This window comes from Homo sapiens, chromosome 12 (genome assembly GCF_000001405.40).
Source record: "Homo sapiens chromosome 12, GRCh38.p14 Primary Assembly".
NCBI classification, from domain to species: Eukaryota; Metazoa; Chordata; class Mammalia; order Primates; family Hominidae; genus Homo; species Homo sapiens.
Genome location: NC_000012.12, coordinates 85,236,852 through 85,259,645, shown reverse-complemented (window position 1 = coordinate 85,259,645; position 22,794 = coordinate 85,236,852). Strand labels below are relative to the sequence as shown.

Below are 22,794 nucleotides of genomic sequence, written 5' to 3'. Positions count from 1 at the left end.
CAAAACAATATTTTAGGTGTGATTAAAAGCTTGAGTTGTATTGTTCTGCTATGTGTAAAGTAACAATTTGAGCAGTAATCTATATAGCTTATTCTCTCATTGCATTTAGTGAGAGTTTTTTGTTATCATATAAATTCCCAAATCACTACATATATAGAGAATAAATTGAGGAGCAAAATAACACATCTCTGAGAGAATCACATATTGGCATTCATTGCAAAGTCATTACTTTGTCCTATGATTACTCCAGAAATGAAAAAACATAAAAAGAAGCAATTTAATATGGTCAATGTATAATCATACTAAAATTACCCATATGAAAATAAAATAGCAAGAGACTCTGGCCTCAAAATATTGATATTGGAGCTAAACCTACTGATGGACTCCTAGAACAAAAATATGTACGACTAACAAATCTTTGACAATTGTTTTCCCTTTTCTGCAACATTATTGTTATAGATTTTATGTTTAACAACAATCTGCTGCTTATTTGCAGGTGAGCATATAAATCAACTCATCAATTGCTTATACAAGTGCTGAAACTATGTCTTGATGATTATGCTCTATTTTTCAAGAAGTCACTTCTTTGCTACATAATCTGTGTTCTGCTCAAGATTTGTTCTGGTCCTTTAAATATTTTATTGTTAAATCCTTGGTTCTTTAAAAAATGTCAAGGTCTATATATATGTTGTGTTTTGATAAGTAATTTAATATGTAAAATGATTTGAATGACTCTCCTGGTATGTATAAAAAACCGTTTAACAGGTCAAAATAGGAATTTCATGATGTATAGTAATATGTCATTGAATTTTCATTGATATACCCAACATTATGTGTCTGGATATAGAAATTATTTCAAAATCCTTTCCATATTTTATTACTTAACAGCAGATACAGCATAAATAAAGCATGGAGAAAAAAAATTAAACATTTTAATGAAAGTGACCAGAACCAATTTTTAGCAGCAAAGCGTTTACATCAATTTAAGTGCTGTGAATGAGTTACGTTGCGCAAATTTGGGGTTGAGGTAGATATTACAATATTCAAATAACAGTTGCTTTGTAAGGTCACTGCTGTGTCCAAGCTTGAATTATAATAATCATTTATAGTGAACTTTAAGTAGATAAAGTCTAACACTGAAAATAAAAAATAAATATTGAACAGGTTGTTTATACCATATTTGGATTTCCTCAACGTAATATTGTGATTTTTCTTGTTTTTGAGATTGCTTTTTACCTTTTCAGTGAATAAAAGTATTTTTGTACATTATAAAAAATTAATAAAACTTTTGTTTCTCCAAATCCCAATTGAACCATGACACATTTATTCTTCTTACTCATATAAATTTAAGTGGCATATAAATACGAAAATCACTTATGTTTGGTACTCTTGATAGTCACAAAAATATCCACAGTATTTGTTACTAGCATTATTACTGGTGTTAATAATCAAAATGTTTTAAAAAAAAACATGTGAGTAACACATTTTTTTGTCTGTGTATATTTATTTTGAAAAAACAATTCAGAATGACTGTAAAAGCTAATACATATCACATTGGGTTGGGAATCTCATTTTGATAAATGCATAGTTTTTTTAACTCATGTATTTTGCCTGTTTATTTACCTTTTATAATATCTACCATGCATATTTTACATTTGAATCTCTGAGGCTGCCTTATAATATGCACTGTTTTCCCAGGTTTTATTTTTAACATACCAGTGTGTTGATTTTTTCTTAAAGATGCCATGTGGCTGTGTTTGCAAAATGATGGCTGGAATGTGGCGCTACAAATGTGGTGCTAAAAAAAAAGTCTTCACTAAATTCTGTCATTCTTACATTGTTTTCACACTTTTTTCTTGGAGGGTTTTTCAAATTCTTTGAGTGAGTGGTTTCTAGTTATAAAATCTAAAAGGGTTTTGTGATTTGTTTCAGAACTAGATTGACTTTTCCTCATGTGGCCTGTAAATTAACTAAAACCCATCTTTCCATTGATAACTACCCCATGTAATGCTGGTTATTGTGGTTTTCTGGTTTCCCACTGAAATAGTTAATACCTATTGGGTGTTTAAACTTTTAAATTGACTGGATAATCAAAAGTGTAATCCAATAAGCAGTTAAGAATGCAATTTAACAATCCATAAGCTATCTAGGTCCCACATTTTCTACTGCACACAGTTCTAAAAGGAATTCTGAAAATCAGGTCATATAAGTCCTGTTTATTTTGTTAGTTTGGGAAAGGTCTATTCCCAAACTCCACAATCATTTTTTATTTTTTAATGTCCTCTTCAGGGCTCTATTCAGTTTCATTATATTTACAACAAAGCGTCTACAAATATTTGTAATTAAAGAACAATGGCATAAGTGACGCTTATAGTTGAGAGCATCTTTTTTTATGGATCTGGATGGATATGCATGTTCCTTTGAAACCAGTCTTTATATATATATATTTATATAATATATAATTAATACATAATTATTATATAATTATATATAATCATATAAATATATAATATATATTATATATTATGTAATTATATATATTTATATAATTATATAATATAATTATATATATTTATATAATTATATAATTATATATATAATTATATAATATATATTATATGTATATATATTACATTTCAGCCTCTAATTATCTTCTCTCACCCAATATTTCCCAAATTAATTTTGCCAAAGTATATTTTTAGCAAAATAGGAATTTTAAGTAAATTCCAAAATGCTTATTATTGAGCTATTTATTTTAGAATATAAACATTTAAAACTCAAATTAGATTTTCAAGATCACTTTTAGTCTTTGAAAAATTTAATTTAAAATCTTTCTTCTATTTACATATTCATTCAACACGTATTTCTTTCAATGGAACTTTCCCGTTAATTTTCTTCTGTGAGCCACATAATGTTAGAAACTGTCATACTGTAGTTGCTTTCTATTTGACTCTATTTTCTTAATTTCATCTTTACCATCTTCATATGGAACTTGTATAAAACAAATACTTATTTCCACATTCCCAGATAGTGAAGACTTGTGAATAGATCTCCCAAAAATTTTTCATGGAAACTTTCATTATTCATTTTCATACTTATTAGTTCTTAGCAGGGAGACATTTGGCAACAATAAACATAACTAGCCTGAGGATTTATTATGTTATTTCACTCCAGTTTCATTCATTCGACAAATGCATTTCATATTTAACCATATCCATTTATTTTTGCACATTAGCTAGTGTGAAAAATTGGTTTGAAAGAAAAAAATAACAAAAATACAAGTCAAACAATTTAAGAAAGAAAATGATCATATAAATGGATAAGAACTAAAATATTACAGTTAGAAACATCATGCTTTACTGTATTATCAATAGAGCATGCATGAATCCTGTCGTCAAAAAATGTTAAATTTTTAATAAAGAATAAATGTAGCTAACATATGTACAACTAGTTCTCTTACAAAATACAGATGAAATTTGTCTTTTTCTCGATAATGTCAACTGCTGTTGAAACTAGCTACTGTCTTAGCTCCGTAAACATTATTCTGTAGTTACTAATAACTGTGATATTTAACTGTGCCTGGAATAATTGTTGACTCATTTAACTGTCTTAGAATGTTGTTACTTAGGATAGTAACAAGTTGTTAAAAGACAGTAAATCAATAACTATTATGTGTTTACTCTTCTAAAAAGTAGATTTTAAAATTAATCCATATTACATGAGTCCACTAACCATGTAAATATGCTCTTGGTGTAACAGCAATTAATTTTCATCTTCTAGGTCTAGTCAGTAGACTATTTTAAGGGTTTAAGTGTTAATGTTTTTCTGTAATTAATTGTCCGGGTTCAGGAACAAAATATCAACACCTAAAAAATTTGTGTCTTAAAGTTCCTGGCCAAAAATTTCAGTCCAAGAATCAGATTTAATGGTTTAAACAATAATTTAAAAGACTCTTAAAATATGAATTTTTACATTGCTAGAGAATAACTCTTGCTGGCCATAAAGTGATAACAATAATAAAAATAATTTCATGAGATGTGGCTATAAGTTCGTTACTGATATATTACTTCAAGTTGAATAGTTGAGATAAAAAGCAAAAGAGGATTTTAAAAGACCCAGATTTCATTATGTATGGAACAAAAAAGTTTAAATTGGCCACAGTTATTTATAAGATATTACCATTTTATTGTTTTTATATGAGGAAAAAGATAAATCTAGAGTGGGATTGAAGTTTTAATATTTTAATAGGAAATATGAAAGTCAATGTTGACTTCTCCTGTGAAACTGTGCAACAATTGACATAGATAGTGGATATCAGGCAATTATTTTATTAGAAGAGTTTATAAGTAGAATGGCATCACTTACAAATTTGCCAGTTAATTAACAGTATTACTGTAATTCACATATTTTAAATTTTCTTATTTTGCATTTAATAATTACATTTTTATCATCAAATCTACTGGAGTTATAGTAGAGTATTATGTGCTTATTGCCCATATTTCCTCATTATCCATTTGCTCTTCAGCAATATATATTACCTGGAAATAAGGTCTATGAAACTAAAAATGAATAAAAGGCATCAGTGAAAAACAATACTACTTTCAATTCATAAGTTAGAAGAGAAAGATTTCTATATATAGAAAATTATATATGTACATATAACTCCAACATGATTTTTCTAATTTAAAAATTTTATCAAAAGGTTTATTCACACTTTCATGTCCTTTACTTATCTTGCTAAATTTCTGTTCACTCCTCAAGTTCTTTGTAAATTTGACATTACCAGAAGTTCTGGAGTTATTCAAAGAATATTCATATTTGAATGATTTTGATTATATTACATGAACACATATTTTAATAAAACATTAATGAGTAGTGACTACTTTGAACCTTGCAAAAATAGACTGAGAATACTAGAGACTTCTAAATGACATTTTCTCTAAGATGGTGTCTGAGGAAAATACATCAGAAATATATAACTATTTGAATTTTGTAAAGGCCATGTACAAGTAAAATTAATATGCTAGTTAATTAGTGGAGAGATGAAACAAAACTAAATTTCTTCTTTTTTATATATAGTTGCAGTCTATATTAAAAAGCATGCAAGCAAGGACATTATAATACATAACTTTTGCTCACTTTTTCAACACTATATGCAGTAGAAAATTAAGGTAAATGTGAAATGTTTCTAACATCCAGTGTAGAAATAATTTATTTGTAAATTTCAGTTATGAAATCTAAGGGACCAGTAGGAAGTAGCAGAGCTCCCAAAATGTTCAAAATGCTAGTTAAACATCATGGAGCTTTGGAAAAACTTTTTTCAAAGCAGATGTATTAGTCTGTTCTCACATTGCTGTAAAGCAATACCTGAGACTGCATAATTTATGAAGAAAAGAGGTTTAATTGGCTCGTGGTTCTGCAGGCTGTACAGGAAGCATGATGGCATCTGCTGAGCTTCTTGAGGCCTCCCCAGAAGCTCACAATCATGGCAAAGGTAAAGGGGGAGCAGACACGTGACATGGCCAGAGAAGGAGCAAGAGAGAGCAAGGGGGTAGGTGCTACACAGTTTCAAATGACCAGATCTCAGAAGAACTGACTCACTATTGCAAGGACGGTACCATGGGAGATGCCGCTAAACCATGAGTAATCCTCCCCTGTGATCCAATCATCTCCCTTTCAGTCCCCACTTCCCACACTGGGGATTAGATTTCAATGAGATGTGAGCAGGGACACACATCCAAACTACATCAGCAGATATATATTAGAAATAGAAGGCAGAAAGCTTGGAGAACAAGATGACAAAATGGGCAGGTAAATTCACTGATGAAGCATCAGTGATTAGTATATTCATAAATTAAAACAAAATAATTTATACTTGTAGTCATACATGGTAACAGCAAGGATTAGGAAGTAAAGTTCTGTGTGTGTGTGTCCATTTGTGTTTGTGTGTCTAATCTATTGAACTATCTGTCTACATCTTTGGCCTACTATTTTATGTAAAACTGTAAATTTATAATCCAAGTAAGAAACTTGGTAACATGAAAATGTCACATTATTATGATTTTCTCTTCCTTTAATGAGAAGACACTATAATGAGAATGTTGTGGTTCTGGCTGGCAAGAGACAATAAAGTATGAAAATCTCCACATTCTTTGTGTTGAAAGGTTCCTTAGATGGTTCTAAATAACAGGTGCTGGTCCAGTACCAGAGCTATACTTCCCTGAAATATATAAGGGACTTCTAGATTTGAGAATATTGCATGAATCTTGTGTGAGTAGTCTATTTTGGAATAGTCTTAGATAATAGTAACAGCAGTTACTCAAACTGTAATTTACTAAAGATAAATTCCTAAGGCATATGGGCCACAGTGAACCATGTATTTATGTTTAGTGGGGTTTCTTTGGAGAATACACCCTTCTCACCCAAGCACTCCTTGCTGTAGGAATGGAAAGAGAAAACTCAAGACCCCAGACGCAGGTTCTCCAACTTTAAACATTAATGCTGCAATTCATTACACAGTTTTAATTGGATGATGTTCATTATTAATGCTTTCAGAGAGAGAAAAAAAGCCTATTTCACGTAAGACATTGTTTTCTTTTTGAAATCCCATTACTTTTTTTTATTTTTGAAAATAAACTTAAGCTCTACTTTAAAAAAACTGTATCATTTACTTATATTAAGTGTAATCATAAGGTACAGAGACTGCCCTGTGGTTTTAATGTTTAGAACTTAGATATTAAATTAAATTTGAAATTATATCAACAATATATAATAGTGCTCAATATATGATAGTGCTCAATAGGAGTTTGTTGAATCAAATGGCCATATATAACTTCAAAGGTACAATTTTTAAGGGTAAATTTAAAGTATTATTAACTTTATCTTCAAAAAAGGAAACTTTCTGTCTCCTCCCAATTTTGGTCCATTAATATACTAGAGTTCTCTTCAAAACATATACTGTTGTTATTTTTTTTTCAAGAGAGATTTCAGGCCTGACTCTTTTAATATTCTTCATCAGAATTAATCAGATTTACAACCAAGGTCACCTTTCACAGAATTCCATAAATTGAAAAACTTAAATTTCTCTTAAAGAAGATGGCTGGCTAGCATCTTACTCCTTTGTTTTTCTCATAAAAACATTTCATACTTGTATAAAAACTTCATACACTTTAATAACCACCTTCAAAATAATCTAATTATTAAATTACATTGTATCTGTTGGTCTATAACTAGCTTCTTCCTCAGCGTCTTTAATTTTCAATTACAAACAACATTTTCCTAAAAAGTAAGCATCTAGCTATGGATTAACTAAAATATCATTTTCAAATGCCATTCTATGAGATAGGGACTGACTTTTCAATAGAAAACTACCTTTTTTCTTTTTCTTTGAAAATGGATTGGGACATTAAAAATCAACTACTAAATATTTATAGTAGAATATTCTTAAAATAGGTTATTTCTGTAGAGGTTGTGGGCTTTAATATGAGTTTTAGCATTCTAAAATTCAACTTGATTTTATAAAATAGCTGTAATATCTCACATATAATGTAGTCTTCTGATCTTTACTTTAAAATCATTTAAAGAAAATATTAAGATTTTCCCCTCTCAGTTGATTGTGCTGAGCTACAATAATTAGAGACCATTTAAACAATGTTTAAGATTAGAATCATTGCAAAGTATTCTGGCACAGAGAAAAGTTTGAGTTTCAAGCATGATTTTCATACTGAAAAATATCAGAAACGATAGTTTCTGTTGCTTTTTATTTGGGAAATTGTCGACTACAAAGTTGTATTGTTCTAGTTGCAGAATTATGGAATTTGAAAGCTAGAAGGAATCTTGATCTCCTCTATATCTGTTTTTTTTTTTTTGCGCCACTTCTCGTGAGTCCAAAATACACATATATGTCTTTCTAATTTTCACCATAATGTTCTCTTAATGGACAAACTAGACCTCAAATATCCTATTCAAGTTTACAAAGATCATATATGTAAGAAAACAAATTCAAATTTAGATATGGTCTACTCCAAATTTCTTTCCACTATGCCAGGCTGCCTTTACCGGCTAAATTTACATAAGAGTTGCAAATGATTTAACCAAGTCCTCAAGCTAGGAAAGAGCCAACAAGGACTAGGAATGAGACTGCCCAAACTCTAAACACATATTCTTATCGATACCACACTCACCATGTTTAAAACCTAAATCGGCATATTAATCATCTTTTACTACTCTTTACCTCATAATTCCAGTTTAATGAGAAGCTATATTATACTTTATTAGTCACTCTCTAGTTAACAGTTTTTCCTAGCTAATGACATAATCTTATAGGCTATTGCCAGTCTATAAATTTCTAAAACTTAGAGGAAAGGAAAGAGAAAAAGAATGATGAAACAATGCTTTCTTGACAATTTCAGTCCTTATGCTTTTCCTCAATTTCTCTCAAATACACTTTCTAGACTAAAATGTTGTGAATAAATAATACTTGGACTTCATGTGGTCCAAGCTGCAAATCTCTTTTAAAGAGAAGAAAATTGAGTCCAAATTACTTTTCATAAAGACGTTCTTCATAAATACACTTATAATTCAAATTCATACATATATGAAAATTATTATATTCAGAAAATAGTAATTTAAGGTATATATATTATATATAATATAATATATAATCTATAATATATATAATATAATATATAATATATAAAATATATTATATATAATATATAATATATAAAATATATTATATATAATATATAAAATATATTATATATAATATAATATATAATCTATAATATATATTATATATAATATAATATATAATCTATAATATATATTATATATAATATAATATATAATCTATAATATAATATATATATATTTTCCATATTCCATTATCTATTTATTGCCTCTTAGCAGCAGAGCCTTGCTCTGTTGTCCAGGCTGAAGTCCAGTGGTGTGATTATAGTTAACTGAGGACTCAATCTCCTGAGCTCAATAGATCCTCCTACCTCAGCTTCCTGAGTAGCTGGGACTACAGGTGCACAGAACCACACCTAGCTAATTTTTGTATTTTTTGTAGGGTAAGGATCCCACTATGTTGCTCAGGCTGGTCTCAAGGTCCTGGGCTCAAGCAATTCTCCCACCTCGACCTCCCAAATTGCTGGGATTATATACATGAGCCATTGCACCTGGCTCATAAATATTTTTGAATGAAGAAATTACAGGATTGGCTTCATATAGGCTAGGTCTGTGGAAATCTGCATCTTCTGATTGTGGTATTTGAAAACTTCACCTGAAATGAAACACTTAACATATGGAGCAATTATATTTTTTAAGGCTTATAAATGCCAGGGTTTTGCAAAGCTCTGAGAAGATATGATAGATGTCGAATGTCTACTAAATAGGCAATCTTCTACCCTGCTTCTTTGTCGGTAAAGCCTTCCTCTTACTACGGAGCAAGAAAATGTCAGATACTCATTTTCCTAGCTCTGATGCATCTAAAGAATGACAATATTCATCCTTCCATCCATCCATGTATCAATTCCTCCAATACATATAATAGACAATATGCCAGGGAATTGTTCTAGGTATCTAGAATATTTAATTAAACTCCCTGCTTCCCTGTAGCATACACTCTAGCAGAGGAGAAGAAGAAACAATAAAAAAAAAATTAGTACAACATTGTTGTTGACAATGGAATTTAAAAGAAAGTATGTTTAGGGCTTTTAAGAGAGATTTTCCTCCCTGATATAAGCCAAGCCCTTGAAAATTCCATCTTCATGTCGATTAAATTCCATCATAGAGCGCTTTTTATAATCTATGACAATATTACTTTAATATCTGCAACAATTTATTAATCTAAATCTCATACATACAGTTTATAAAGAAGTCCATGAATGTTAAAGAAAATGTTTTTGTTTCTGTGGAAAACAATATCCATTTAAAAATAAACTGATAGGAACACATGATATAGGAGAGTAGCAACAATGGCTCATATATTCATTTATTCACTTAATGTAAGTGCCTACTATGTGCTAGGCACATATAATTCATATTTATATTTTCTTAATGGCTTGTGGAAGTGATTTTCACATTGTAGGTATGTAACTGCTTACTATCATGATGTGTGGTTTATATAAAAATACCTAAATACATGCAATGATAGTTCTTGAGTTCACACAGTGTGGAATTATAATGCATGTTACACACATACACACAGATGCACACAGACACACACATTTATTTCCAGGTATGCAAAAATTAGATATTCATATACATGTATACATATGAATATATGTACATAAATATACATAAATACACAACATGCTACCTTCTTGATTTGCAAGTTTAAAATTATATTATTGAAATGTGCTTATTCTACTTGAAATAAACTTCAATATCCATCTTTGGAATCTACTTTTGCTTTAGGTACTATCCTTAGACTTCTACCTGTAAACAATATTAGGCATGAACTCCTAGCAATCTATTTCGTTTTGAAGTTTTTATCACAAAAATCAATATTTTTTCATAAGAGCTATAAAATTACTCTTTCAATATATTAGAGGAAGTATGTAATGTTAGAACAGATTCAGAATACCTTTCCTTAACAAATAGTTTAGTTTTCTAAAACACTTATTTTTTGAAATCTTCATTTGTTACTTATTATTAGTAGGAAATTTCAAGTCTTCTACTTTACTTTCAAACTTACTTAAAACTGGGCTTCTTCTTTCATCCAACCTTATATTACTTACTTCAGTATATGGAACCTCTGGCCCAGACAGACTCTTCAACATTCCACAATGATACATTCATATTTTATCCTTTACTTTTGCTTAAATGGTTTTTCTTCTACCTCTTTCCTTACTTAAATCCCAAATGTCATTCTAGGCACAAATCACGAATAGTGCCTTTAAGAAGTCTTTCTAAGTCACCTCAACCACTATAATTGCTTCTCTTCTGAACAATGTTTTCTGTCACATTCAGAAAATTCAATACCATATTAAAAAGACTAACTTTTCATAAGTTTAGATATAACCAAAGAACAACTTCAGGAGGGTCTGATTACTCACTATTACAGAGGTATTGTGGGTTTTCAAACCCCAACTAACTGTGAAAATGTAATGTATCCTGGAAAGTACAGAGATAATCAGAAGGAGACACCTGAAAACCACTCGTGGGTATGCAGGGAGCAGTGAGCATTCAATAAATGACTCTTGGATAATTTAATGATTAAAAATTATAATAATTTTTCTTCTACTATTTTACTAACTAAGCTATATGTTTTAGTCCATAGAAAAATTAAAGATGATATATCACTGGATTTAGAACAAAAACAAAGATAAATTCAAGTTGCTGCTCTTCTTTGCTAATTTTTGTGTGAAAAGCAAATTAGTTAGTTTCCTGAGTTTCATTTATGTTAGCTGTCAAAGAAATATGATCATTATACATGAGAAAAGATAAATAAAGATAATGTATAAAGCTATAAATTGCTCTAACAATAAAAGTATTATTATATATTGCAATGCATACTTTAAGCATTAAATGAGGAAATTGAGTAAACTAAAATCATTTAGTAAATTCAAATATTTTGACTAAATATTATATAAATGAGGAAATCTCTTGCTATGTCCATTTTATAAATGATAATTTTTGAATGAGAATGTAATCTCTTTCATAACTTTGTAAACCATAAGAAAGATTAGAAATTTAGATAGCAGAAGACTGCTTTGGCCTCTTTGTAAGGAAACAGTAAAGCCTAAAAGGAAAGGGACAGAACATTTAGGAAGTTTTCTAACAAAAGAAATATTGCCTGAGATGGCCAGTATGTTCAAAGTATACTCCTCCTGGTCTTATTATTTTTGACACACAGAAAAGGAAGACAATTCTACTGTGGGGTTGTTTCATAATGACTCAAGAGAATTACCAAACATACAACAAGAAACAGTGAAGACAACAGGTACTATTCTTTAGGACCCTATAATACCCAAGGCAATATATCATATGCTTTATGTATATTTTTACTCAATTTTTCCTCACTAAAACTATGATATAAACATTACTATTCCCATTTTACAGACAGTAAACTTAATGTTAGAGGTTAAACAATTTACCTAAGGGCACACAACTCATATGTGATGGTGGAACTGGGATTTTAAATCTGAATTTATCTGATTCCAAAGAATACATGTTATAAAATTATAACAACACTAAAAGAGAAATATCTAGAAAAGTTCAAAGGCTCAAAAAGAGTTTTACAGCTGTAGTCCACAAAGTACTCTCTAGATTTGGCCTGCAAAGCTAAAAGAAATATTTTATTAATAGCTTTATAAGGTGACAAATTTTGAGACAGAGAGAGAAAGCTAAAGGAAAAAGAGCTTTCAAGATACCAAAGCTGTTAACTGGTTGACCCAGGGCCATGGAGGCCTAGGGCCCAAGGACTTTGATTTCTACAGAAAAATAGACTAAGCCAAATATTTTAATTAAGCAACTAAGAGTAGGTTTTTTATAAGCTGAACCAATTAGATCATGTGCCTAGATACTTGAGACTTCCATACTTTAGCCCAAAAGATGCTTCTTATATAACTATGTTTAGGTGATGATTATAAAGAACACTTATTAAGCACTGATTTTGTACCAGTTTGTGTTCTAACTCGTATGCATTTGATCCCAACAACAACTCTACAAAGAGGTGCTTCTATTATCATTCCTATTTTAAAGATTAAGTCCTCATTCAAATCCAGGCAAATTGACCTCAGAGACCACACTCCTTATTATTATATAATACTGATGTTGTTATAGTTACTTAGCAACTACAGTGATTAAGCAAGTAGTATTTGATTCATAATCATTTTATTATTTTTTTAAAACTCTACTCTTCTAAAGTAGTTTGCCTTAAATTGTTGCTTATTAACACATTCAGAGATTAGTAGTGTTTTCAGTAATATTATTTGTTGACAAGTAGTTGGAATTACAGTGAGAATTGCATTATTTCAGCTTCTTGGAGAATGTGTTAAAATGAACTCTATATAATTATATCTCTAAAATCCATAATTAAATATCATGTAAGTGAATGATGAAACTTGCATATTTGAAACTAGTTGCTGATTTATTGAGCTATTCATGTGCTAACATTCAGGTAATACATTATAAACAGAAGTTTTGAAATTCTAAAGTGAAAAAGCAATTTTTTGTTTTTGTTTTTAATTTGCTTATTTCTTACCTACAATGCTCCAAAGTGATATCATATGAGTTTGTAATATGCAATGCGTAAAATTATCATTATTTATTAATATATATTGACACAGGCTGATTACTTCTGAAATGGAATAAAGATTTTGAAATTTGATAAAGTTAGTACATTATGTTAAAAACTAAAAAGTTTACATTAGGTGAATAATTTAAACTTAAAATATTTATTTCTTAACTATATTGACTAGGGCAACATTTCAATGACCAGATTCTATAATCATGTAAGAAAACTTCAAGCTCTCCAGGGTTTTTGAAACTTGGAAAATATTTCAAAATTAGATGTATTAAAATTATTATTTCAAAAGTAAATTAAAATTTATCAAAATGAACTTGCATGTATTAATAAATATAAATGATTATAATCTAATAAAGCCAAGTACTTGGATGAAAAGTGAAAGTCAGATAATCATTTTGAAGTTTTCATTTATCCGGAGAGCACAATCTGGATCACTGAATTTTTCACTTTCAATCAAATATTGATTTTGTATTGTGTGTGTGTGTGAGTCTCTCTCTCTATATATATATGTATATATGTAACTATAATACCAGTGAGTAATACAACTCTTTCAAAAATAATAATTATAATTAAGTATAAAGACTTAATTACGATTAAATCTTGAGTTTCACTATATATTGGGGAAATTAACAAAATGTAATATTAAGCAAAATATCTTTTATACTAATGTATTGTCACATTTTAGAAGAGATCTCAAACTCTCTAGGGTTAAATAAGGACTTTGAAAGAAATCGCTCTTGATTCCCGTGAAATACCACAAGATACAGCTATTTTTTAAATGTTTACATTTTTCAGAGTTAATAATTGCAATATAATTCTTGTTGAAATCATTATTTTTATATTCTTTCTCTACATATATATAACAAATATGTTATATAAATGTATTATATATTTAATATATATGTATATTTCTCACCAAGTTAAAGGTAATAGATGTGTGTGACAGGTTTATGAATTAAGAGTCATCATTAATAGACATAATCAAACTCTTACATATGCAATGGAAATAGTTTTTGAAAGCATGCTTTCTGATAGTATAATATTATTTAAAGCTCTTCTATTTAAAAAAATTATCTTTGGAAATTATCTTTACATACAGTATCTATTAAATCAATGGTAAAAGGCCAAGACACACTACTTTCATATATAAATCTAACATCTTACAATTAGTCTAAAAAATTCTTTTAGAATTAAATGATCAAAGAATTCAATATGATTCACAGGGTGTGGGGGGCAGGAGATATTGAAGCCCCAAATACAATTAAAATAAAAACTGATGCAGTTAATTTTAGAAATAATTTAATTTTGTTTATATCAAAAGAGGATATTTAAAGAAAGAAAAAATTTAAATACACATTTTTGGGCAGTTCAGGTTGCTGGCATCCTACCCCCTATCTGAAAAAGAATGCTTGTTGGCATTAGGTTCCATCAATTCGTTTGTGATTTCTAAATTAATTTTGAAGGAAACCACAACTTACTTGAAGATCCTGCTGAGTGTCTGTGTGCCTGATTTTTTTTTTCTCTGTTCACAGACAAAGCACTTCCATTGGTCATGGAAAAAAGGTCTAAATCCGTGTCTTCTCTGCTTACAAGTCTTGCCTGGGAGCAATGGAAGAGAATGTATACAATCATGAAACAAAATATGGCATTTTCTGAATGCAGCTCACATTACCCCAAATAAACAAACAGGCTCTGTCAAACAACCTTCTTCAAAATGATACCACAATCCTTTATTGCTGCCCAGGCAGAACAAATGCACTATGTCAAAGCATTTTTTGCAAATAAGAGTCGATTGTAAAATTGAGGATTGCTATTTGAGTCTGTACAACAAAAGAAAACATTTTAGTACAGTAATTTTGATGAAAATCAATATCAAAGGTAGCTGATGAAACTTTAAAGAGCTTAACATTATTTATTTGCCAAGTATATTATTTAATTTTTAATTGAATGTTAGACATGTCATATGGGGTTATTTTTTGCAAAAATTATATGTTGCCACTTATATGTATTAGTCTTATCAATAAAATTCTCTGAAATGCCTTTCACCCTATGCTTGCATACAATTAAGCTACAGACCATCTTTACCTTCTCATTAAAGCCATTATCAATATAAAAATATATTTAATACTAATTTTGGGATAATTATAAATATATAGATATTTCAGGACATTATTTAATGAACATAAAAATTATTTATTTTATCTCAAATTGCCTTTGAATTTGTATTACTTAGACCGAATCTAAGTGCCAAAAATAATTGCTTCTTACCTATAAAACAGTGTTGTACATAATGTTGAATATCATTACATAAAGATACATTAGGATTCAGTTCTGAAATAGGGGGAAATGCCATGAGGGAAAGCAAAGCAGCCTCAGAGTAGCTGGGATTTAACCAAAACCACACTATGCTTGAAATCCTGTGAAAATGCATTGTTCTTAATGTTTGATGTTAGGAAAACTTAAATATAGCAAAATAAAAGCATAAAACCACCACTGTGGTTAAAAAGCTGTCTCCATAAGATGAGCCACAAAGACTCAAGGAGCTAGTATCCAAAAATGACCCTCTTTAAAATTCAGATATTTGCCCTTCACCTTTACATCCCCCTCCCACCTTCTTCCTACTTTTAAACATATGAACTTACATTTATTTATTTATTTTAATATACTTCTATTTTTCCAAATTTATTTATATTTTCCCTGTTTATTTGGTCTTAATTGACAAACAAAAATTGTATACATGTATCATGTACAACACAATGTTTTAAAATATATATATACACTGTGGAATGGCTAAATTGAGCAAATTAACATATGTATTGCCTCACATACTATTTTTAAGTAAGCAAGTATTGCTCTTGCTGAGTTCAGAATATAAACCATTGTATAATGTCAATCATTCTTAATGTAACTGGCTAAGTAATATAATGACATTGTCAAAAAACCTCGGTAGAAAACATTAAAATAAAATAAATAAAAATCGTTTCCAATTTATACTTGTGATTTATATGTGCACAGGTACCCTAAAACTTAAAGTATAATAATAATAATAATAATAATAATAATAATAATAATAAAAGTTATACATTATTTTTGAAATGTATTTCAATAGTATCCAAGAGTACATGTCTAACATTAGAATAGCTGCATTAGAAAAGTTCCATCAATGGTAAACCTTAAAAAAAAAAACAGTCAAAAGTTAAGGGGAAATATCAAAGCAATACCACAATTTTGGAGAGGCTACTTAGGTAACAAGAAAAAACATGTGAACCACATAAGGGACCCTCCTGAAGACTAAAGAGGCTTTAAGATTATAAGCCTTAATATTGTAAAATGAGGTTTATTTATTTAAATGTAATGACATAATTTCACTACACCTATTTAGAAAGTAGAATTCCCACTCTCCCCTAAATAAGACAAAACCTACAGTCAAGAAAATATTTGTAAATAAACACCTTCCAAAAAATTTATTATCATCTAAGTAATTAACATCCAAAGATGATTTTTTCCAAAGTAGAAAATAACTAGTGTCAGTTACTAATTTGGTCAATTACATAGGAAATAAACTTTAGAAGTAAAATTACTGGAAACACATGGCTTCACAATGATGCCATTTAGCAGCTTAAAAGCAAACCTAGAAATTTCATAAATGGGCTAGTTAAATGTCTTTCAGTGAATCTGGCACAGCGATATGCAACAATATTTAGATCTTATTTTTGAAAACATTGGCTTCCCAACTAAACATCATTCTCTGCTTAGTGTTAAAAAATAGAGAAATGGTAAAGAAGATACAGATTTTCTTCAATGTCATGTAAATTGTATATACAGTCGTTCCTCAGTATTTGTGGGGATTTGTTTCAGGACTTCCACAGATAACAAAATCCATGGATGCTCATGTCCCTTATATAAAATGGAGAATTATTTGCATATAACCTATGCATATTCTCCCTTCTATTTTAAATAATCTCTAGATTACTTCTAATACCTAAATAAATGTAAATGCTACATAAATAGTTGTTATACTCTATTGTTTTTTTATTTGTATCATTTTTATTGTTGTATTGTTATTTTTTGTTTGTTTGAATATTTTCAATCCAGAGTTGGTTGACAGATATGGAGGGCCAACTTAACCTGAAGATAACTGATCACACATTCGACATTTATTCTACAAAAACGTATGTTGGATTCCAAAATAGTGCAATATTTTTTATGGTTATAATATAATAATCTCAAGTTAATGTCAGATAAGAATTTTCTCACATACAACATAATGGCAAATACTTATTAGACTGTAATTTTGCAAAATTCTTTTAGGTCTTTGTTTTTGGAACGGATCTCTTTTATCGCCCTACCTACAAGGTTTGTAATTGCCGCTCTCCCCACTTCCGCCCTATAATTTCACAATGAAATGACGGATGTACATTTTGGGACAGGACTTTCCAAGCATTTGGATTCTGATTCACCTCCAACTTTGGCAACTTAATTAAAAAAGAGATTCTCTCTCATATATTAAACAAGAGGGATTTCCTCTTCTTCTACATTTTTTTCATAAACAAGATTTTATTAATTATTAATTTTAAAAGTATTGTCTTTTTGGAAGTGAAGATATACAAAACAGCACACATAAAAACAAATGTCTATGTACTTATTACCCAGATATTTCTTTATAAAGGGAGAAAGCGAGTTTTATAAAGATGAAGTCCCCTTACATGCTACTTTGTTTTTCTACATATGTATCAAACATTTTAGAGTATTATTTCAAAATTAACATAAATGATATATTTTCTGCTGCTTGCTTTTTTCACTGTACATTATATATGTGAGATCTAGATTTAGTTCATTTATTTTAACTGTTAGAATAATTTGCAAATTATGGCAAAATTACAATATATACTATAAATATATCACATAATTATTTGTAATATATCTAGACATATGAGTGATTTTAAAAGCTTTTTAACTTCATGTAAAGAAAATGAATTATGCATACTCCTAAATTCATAATACATCATCTTTTCATAAACTCCTTTTCTTATGTAATAAGACAGATGTCTTGTTATATAACATATGTGGGTAGGGAAGGCACTTTAAATATTTAAAAGACATAATGTACATGCCGTAAAGTGCAAAGACCTTAAACATGAAGTTCAACTCCCATAGAAGTTTAAAACTCCCATAGAAGTTACAAAATATAGCAATGAGTTCCCTATGCACCCTACACCCAGCATGCCTCAATGACAACATTTCACATAACCAAATCATGATCAACAAAACCAGAAAACTGACACTGTATCAATACTATTACTAAACTACTGACCTTATTAGGACTTCGCTAGCTTTCACATGCCCTAATTTTTTCTTGTTTGCAGTTCTATGACATTTTATCATATGTATAAATTATGCATACATATATGTATAGATTATGTATTGTATTAATATGTATAGATTCAACTATTATCACAATTAGGACACAAATCTATTCCGTCTTCCCAAAGAAACTCTGTTGTTCTCCTTTATAGTCACATCCTTTCCCCAATCTAAGCATGGCAACTAATCACGTTTTCTCTATTACTATAATTACGTGATGCTTAAGGATCTTATATTAATGAAATAATACAGCATGTAATCTTTTGAGATTAGCCCTTTTTAACTCAACATAATGTTCTTGAGATCGATGGAAATATTTGTATATGTCAACAGCTTTCTTGTTTATTGCTTTTTAATTGTGTGTTGTATATCCACTGTATGTATGTACCATCATTTCTTTATTATTTTACCCATTCAATGAGATTTGAGTTGTGTTAAGTTTTGGCTATTACAAATAACACTGCTATGAAAGTTTATGTACAGTTTTTTGTTTGAATGAAAGTCCACTTCTCTAGGAAAAATGCTCAAAGGAAGAATAATTAGGTCGTATGTTAAGTGTATATTTAACTTTATAAGAAGCTTATAAAGCTTCTGAATGTACCAGAGTCTTTACAAGCTTATAAAGCTTATAAAGTTTTTTTCTCCAGAGTGGCTGTACCATTTTCACCAGCAATGCATGAGAGATACAGTTGCTCTGCATACTTGTCAACATTTGATAATTTCAGTATTTTTTATTTTAACCACTTTAATGGGGTAGAGTGGTATTATATAGTGGCTTTAATTATTTCTCTAAGTGAACACGTTTTCATTTGCTTTTGACAGAAATAAAGAGTATGAATGTTTCTCCGATAATGTGGTTTGACTTTTCATTTCTGTTTATTTTCTGAATTGTGTCTTCGTAAGGGCAAATGCTTTTAAATATGAACTATAATTGATTTGTAACTTTTGGTTTAGGCTTTTTGCCTATGCCAGGTTTGTGGATGTATCTTACTGTTTTCTTCAATAGGTTTTATTTTTATTTATTTGATTATATTTTACTTTTTTTGGAGTCAGGGTCTTGCTCTGTTGCCCAGGCTGCAGTGCAGTGGTGTGATCTCAGTTCACTGCAAAGTCTGCCTCCCCGGTTCAAGGGATTCTTGTGTCCCAGCCTCCTGAGTAGCTGGGATTACAGGCACGTGCCACCATGCCCAGCTAATTTTTGTATTTTTGATAGAGATGGAGTTTCATCATGTTGACCAGGCTGGTCCCAAACTCCTGGCCTCAAATGATCCACCTGCCTGGGCCTCCCACAGTGCTGAAATTACAAGCGCGAGCCACCATGCCAGGCCTCTTCAATAGGTTTTACAATTTTGGCTTTTAAATTTAGGCTCATAGTTCATCTTAATTTCATTTTTCATAAGATGAGAAGTAGGAGTCAAGATTCTTTTTCCATATAGTTATCTAGTTGTCCAGCACTATGTGTAGAAAGGGTTATCTTTCCCCCCCTTGAATTGTTTTGATACTTTATAAAAAATCAATTGACCTTACAAGTGTGGGTATTTTTCTGGACTCCCTATACTTTCCATTGATAGATTCTTGTATCTTAACACATATATAAATATATATACATACATATATGTGTGTGTATATATATACACGTGTGTGTGTGTGTGTGTGTGTGTGTGTGTATAAAACAGTTTCAATTACCGGGGATTGATAGCAAGTCTTGAATTCTGTGTAGCACGAGTCTTACTATTCTTTTTTCAAGATTGCATTTGCTATTCTAGGTCCTTTCCATTTCCATACACAGTTTAATATCAGTGTGTACATTTCTACCAAAAATTTTACTGGGATTGCTTTGAATCTACAGAACATTTGGGGAGAATTAATTTCTTACAATTTGAGTTTTTCAACTTATTTATAAATATGGTATGTCTCTGAAATTTTTTAAAGCAGTGTTTTGCAGTTATGAGTGTAGAGGGCTTGCACATTTCAATGTTAACATTTATTTTTAAATATTTTCCATTTTTGACATTGTCATGAATGAAATTTTTAAATTTAATTTTTAAACTTTATTGCTAATATTTAGAAACGTAGCATATTTTAAATTAAACTTTATTGTGTGTCCTTGAATAAATTCACTTATGTCTAAACTGTTTGTGAGGATTTCTTAAGACTTTTATGTACAAGAAGATGTCATCTGTGAAAATCAGATGGTTTTCTTTTCCAATCAGATTTTCTTGCCTTGTTCCTGATATTAGATACAAAACATTGGGCCTTTAACCACTAAGTATATCAAGTTAAGAAAGTGTCTTCTAGTCCTAATTTTCTATGAATTTTTACCACAAATCTGTTGAATTCGTGGTAAACATTTTCTGCATATATTGAGATAATGATTGTTTTCCTTTTTATGTTAATGTGGTAAATTACAATTCTATTTTTACTAGATATAGAATTGAAGGTTGACATTTTTTTCTTCCACTTTCTTCTGGATGTCAATATTTGTGATCGATAGTGAACCATAATCCTTACAAATGGTCCCCTGTATATCATGTATACTTTAGCTGCTTTAAATTTTTTTCTTTCTTGTTGGTTTTCAGCAATTTGATTATGAGGTGCATAGGTGTAATTTTTGTGTTAAGCTTTTTAAATCTGTTTTCTCGTATTTCTCATCAAATTTTAAATGTTTTCAGTGATTAGTTTTCACATATTTTTTCATCTCTAATCTCTCTTCCGGAAAGTCAACAACATATCTATTAGCTTGCTTGCTATTATCTGACAGAGCACTCAAGCTTTGATTTTTTTTAAGTTATTTTTTCTCTCTCTGCCCCACTTTGGAGAGTTTATCTTGCTTTGTTTCTGAGTGCACTTTTCTTCCCAATGTCTAATTTATTAAGTCCAGCCATTATTTTTTTTTCAATTAAGGTGAAATAGTTTGCAGTTCTAGATTTTCTATTTTCTTATTTTTTAAAGTTTATTTTCTCTATTAAGATTTCAATCTGTTTCCTCAACATTTAGATCTCTGAATATATTTATAATAGATGTTATAACTTGCAGGCAAGAATCTTAAAAAGGTTATCTGATTTGGTTCTAGTGATGATTTTTTTTCTTACAAGGCTCATTTTCCTGCTGCTTTGAAGGATTAGCAATTTTTTACTGCACACTGGACATTGTAATTTTATTTGCTGAATCTGTAGATTTTGTTAGCATCCTTTAAACTCTGTTAGCTTTTATTCTAACAGAGGCAGTTTTTATTCTAGCAGGCAGTTGATTTATTTGTTGATTAACTTGGTCTTTTTGAGGCTTACATTTATGTTTTACTATGTGGATCTAGAGGAGTTTTTTAATCCAGGGCTAGAGTCACCCCTTCCTAAAGTTTAACTTTACATGGTCTTAACTAAATGTCTGGGACGTTCTCCACTGTAGCAGGTCAGAACTCCAATGTTTCCCGGTTTTGATTGGTCTCTAGAGTCTCTTTTCAGTTCAGATATTCCCAGTAGCTGTTCCCTTCTGGACCTCAATGAGTCACATAGTGCAGTATATACAGAGCTTAGTACTTGGCCAAACACCTAAGGAAACCACTATACCAATTTTTGCAACACTTTCTCTAGTATTTTACCCTGTAAATACCATTTATCTCAGCAACTCTGAACACTCCTTTCTCTCTTTCTTTTCAACTCAGTGAAACTACTGAGCTCTCTTTAGGCTTCCCTTCCCTCTGCTGTAGTCCAGAAAGTGTTTCCAAGCTGTTACCTGAGTTGACTGTGGAACTCATGTGTTTCTTTTATCTCAGGGATCATAGTCCTGTGCTGCCTGTTTTTCAACTTATAAAATAGTTGTTTGATTAATTTTATCCAGGTTTTATAAAAACGTTTTTCTTCAGAAGGACTGGTCTATACTACATCATAGCCCAAAGCAGAAACAATTAGGAAAACAAATAAATTGGTATTAACATTTTGGTCATTAATTTTTAAACACAATAATATGTAATTTAAATATATCTATTTTCTGCATGGTTTTAATCTACTCCTCTTGCCTGCAGTACTGTGTTTCATAATATATATCCAACCAATTATTCATTTATTTAATAAAGAGTTCTTAAGTTGCCTCTATATGTGTATAAATAATACAGCAACACACTTCTTGGTATATATTCTTTGATGGCTGTATGTAAAAATAATCTGGGAGATATA

The 22,794-nt window shown here is 29.9% G+C and overlaps 1 protein-coding gene across 12 annotated transcripts in view; it reads right to left on the bottom strand.

Moving 5' to 3' along the window:
• LRRIQ1 (leucine rich repeats and IQ motif containing 1) overlaps window positions 1–22,794 on the bottom strand; it is a 236,455-nt gene that overhangs the window by 13,160 nt on the left and 200,501 nt on the right. For 5 of the 12 annotated variants that reach the window (XM_011538819.4, XM_024449222.2, XM_011538817.3 and 2 more), the window contains one exon: window positions 14,737–14,857. In XM_011538819.4, the coding sequence (XP_011537121.1) occupies window positions 14,737–14,857 (121 nt within the window). Of the gene's footprint in view, window positions 1–10,214; window positions 12,292–14,540; window positions 14,858–22,794 lie in introns of those variants that run through there. The other 7 variants (XM_047429651.1, NM_001079910.2, XM_047429652.1 and 4 more) reach the window with 2 other exon arrangements.